The sequence below is a fragment of the Homo sapiens genome, chromosome 9, assembly GCF_000001405.40.
Source record: "Homo sapiens chromosome 9, GRCh38.p14 Primary Assembly".
NCBI lineage: Eukaryota > Metazoa > Chordata > Mammalia > Primates > Hominidae > Homo > Homo sapiens.
In genome coordinates, this window is record NC_000009.12 from 6181322 (window position 1) to 6184133 (window position 2812).

General features: G+C 44.3%; 2 annotated features.

The window, feature by feature from the left end:
* Positions 1061–1645: an enhancer, noted in NCBI's record as "NANOG-H3K27ac-H3K4me1 hESC enhancer chr9:6182382-6182966 (GRCh37/hg19 assembly coordinates)". NCBI's record gives its function as "activates a minimal SCP1, AML or CMV promoter by ChIP-STARR-seq in primed H9 embryonic stem cells {active_cell/tissue: H9 hESC(primed)}" and the evidence as "EXISTENCE:reporter gene assay evidence [ECO:0000049][PMID:30033119]".
* Positions 1646–2230: an enhancer, noted in NCBI's record as "NANOG-H3K27ac-H3K4me1 hESC enhancer chr9:6182967-6183551 (GRCh37/hg19 assembly coordinates)". NCBI's record gives its function as "activates a minimal SCP1, AML or CMV promoter by ChIP-STARR-seq in naive and primed H9 embryonic stem cells {active_cell/tissue: H9 hESC(naive and primed)}" and the evidence as "EXISTENCE:reporter gene assay evidence [ECO:0000049][PMID:30033119]".

The following is a 2812-nucleotide window of genomic DNA, read 5'->3' on the forward strand; positions in this document are numbered from 1 at the left end:
TTTGGCATGATTTTGCAGCGGCTGGTACTGGTTGTTCCTTTCTATGTTTAGCACTTCCTTCAGGAGCTCTTTTAGGGCAGGCCTGGTGGTGACAAAATTTCTCAGCATTTGCTTGTCTGTAAAGTATTTTATTTCTCCTTCACTTATAAAGCTTAGTTTGGCTGGATATGAAATTCTGGGTTGAAAATTCTTTTCTTTAAGAACGTTGAATATTGGCCCCCACTCTCTTCTGGCTTGTAGAGTTTCTGCCGAGAGATCCGCTGTTAGTCTGATGGGCTTCCCTTTGAGGGTAACCCGACCTTTCTCTCTGGCTGCCCTTAACATTTTTTCCTTCATTTCAACTTTGGTGAATCTGACAATTATGTGTCTTGGAGTTGCTCTTCTCGAGGAGTATCTTTGTGGCGTTCTCTGTATTTCCTGAATCTGAATGTTGGCCTGCTTTGCTAGATTGGGCAAGTTCTCCTGGACAATATCCTGCAGAGTGTTTTCCAACTTGGTTCCATTCTCCCCGTCACTTTCAGGTACAACAATCAGACGTAGATTTGGTCTTTTCACATAGTCCCATATTTCTTGGAGGCTTTGCTCGTTTCTTTTGATTCTTTTTTCTCTAAACTTCCCTTCTCACTTCATTTCATTCATTTCATCTTCCATCACTGATACCCTTTCTTCCAGTTGATCGCATCGGCTCCTGAGGCTTCTGCATTCTTCACGTAGTTCTCGAGCTTTGGTTTTCAGCTCCATCAGCTCCTTTAAGCACTTCTCTGTATTGATTATTCTAGTTATACATTCTTCTAAATTTTTTTCAAAGTTTTCAACTTCTTTGCCTTTGGTTTGAATGTCGTCCCATAGCTCAGAGTAATTTGATCATCTGAAGCCTTCTTCTCTCAGCTCGTCAAAGTCATTCTCCATCCAGGTTTGTTCCGTTGCTGGTGAGGAACTGTGTTCCTTTGGAGGAGGAGAGGCGCTCTGCTTTTTACAGTTTCCAGTTTTTCTGCTCTGTTTTTTCCCCATCTTTGTGGTTTTATCTACTTTTGGTCTTTAATGATGGTGATGTGCAGATGGGTTTTTGGTGTGGATGTCCTTTCTGTTTGTTAGTTTTCCTTCTAACAGACAGGACCCTCAGCTGCAGGTCTGTTGGAATACCCTGCCGTGTGAGGTGTCAGTCTGCCCCTGCTACGGGGTGCCTCCCAGTTAGGCTGCTCGGGGGTCAGGGGTCAGGGACCCACTTGAGGAGGCAGTCTGCCGGTTCTCAGATCTCCAGCTGCGTGCTGGGAGAACCACTGCTCTCTTCAAAGCTGTCAGACAGGGACACTTAAGTCTGCAGAGGTTACTGCTGTCTTTTTGTTTGTCTGTGCCCTGCCCCCAGAGGTGGAGCCTACAGAGGCAGGCAGGCCTCCTTGAGCTGTGGTGGGCTCCACCCAGTTCGAGCTTCCTGGCTGCTTTGTTTACCTAAGCAAGCCTGGGCAATGGCGGGCGCCCCTCCCCCAGCCTCGTTGCCGCCTTGCAGTTTGATCTCAGACTGCTGTGCTAGCAATCAGCGAGACTCCGTGGGCGTAGGACCCTCCGAGCCAGGTGTGGGACACAATCTCCTGGTGCGCTGTTTTTTAAGCCCGTCAGTATTCGGGTGCGAGTGACCTGATCTTCCAGGTGCCGTCTGTCACCCCTTTCTCTGACTAGGAAAGGGAACTCCCTGATCCTCTGCGCTTCCGAGTGAGGCAATGCCTCGCCCTGCTTCCGCTGGCGCACGGTGCGCGCACCCACTGACCTGCGCCCACTGTCTGGCACTCCCTAGTGAGATGAACCCGCTACCTCAGATGGAAATGCAGAAATCACCCGTCTTCTGCGTTGCTCACGCTGGGAGCTGGAGACCGGAGCTGTTCCTATTCGGCCATCTTGGCTCCTCTCAGGTGAATTTTGATCTACCATTAAAACAAGGTGCCAGGACCGGATGTTTCGTAACAGTGCTCTCTCTAACTCTTAAATAACAGATAGTTCTAATCCTATTTAAGCTCCTTCATTTATTTTATGAAGTCAGCATAATCCTAATTCCAAAGCCAGATGGAGAATATAAAAATGTAAAACTCTTACAAATGAATCTAGATACAAAAATTCTAAATAAATTATTAGTAAACAAAATCTAGCCTCTAATAAAATGAATATTACCAAGTTGTGTATATTTTAGGAATGCAAATGTATGATCTAAAATCAATCACTTATCACTCATTACAACAGCAAATTAAGGAAGATAAACTACATAATCATATCAACACTTGCTGAAAAGGTGTTGATAAAATTCATCCATCTCCCCTAATAAAACCTCAACATAACATAGAAATAGAAGGAAATCGATGAAAAAAAATGAATGGCAAGTACATGAAATATAATAAGCTCTCATTCATTTAATATATACTTAAGTAGTTCCTAGTACCAGGCACACTCTGGTGATACAACAGTGAACATGATAGATACAATCTGTGCTCTGCAAGGCTTACAGTACAGTGGGAGTGACTGGAAATTTATTGGAGGCTTTGATGTGGAAGAAGGATATGGAAATCCATGAGAAAACACTATGCTTAGTCAGGGCCATGTGACAATAGAATTTCTGCAGACAGTGACAATTAAATTGAGATCTGAAAAGTGAGAAAGATGTATACAGATTAAAGAGAGGTTGGTTGGAGAAAATATTTCTGGGATAGAGAATAACCCTTACAAAGGCCTGGATAGGAGAGAACGAAAGTAAGTTGAGTATGGCGAAAGTACAGAGCAAGAGCTCAGGATGAAGTGTGTAATACAAACTGCGAAGAAAGGCTCA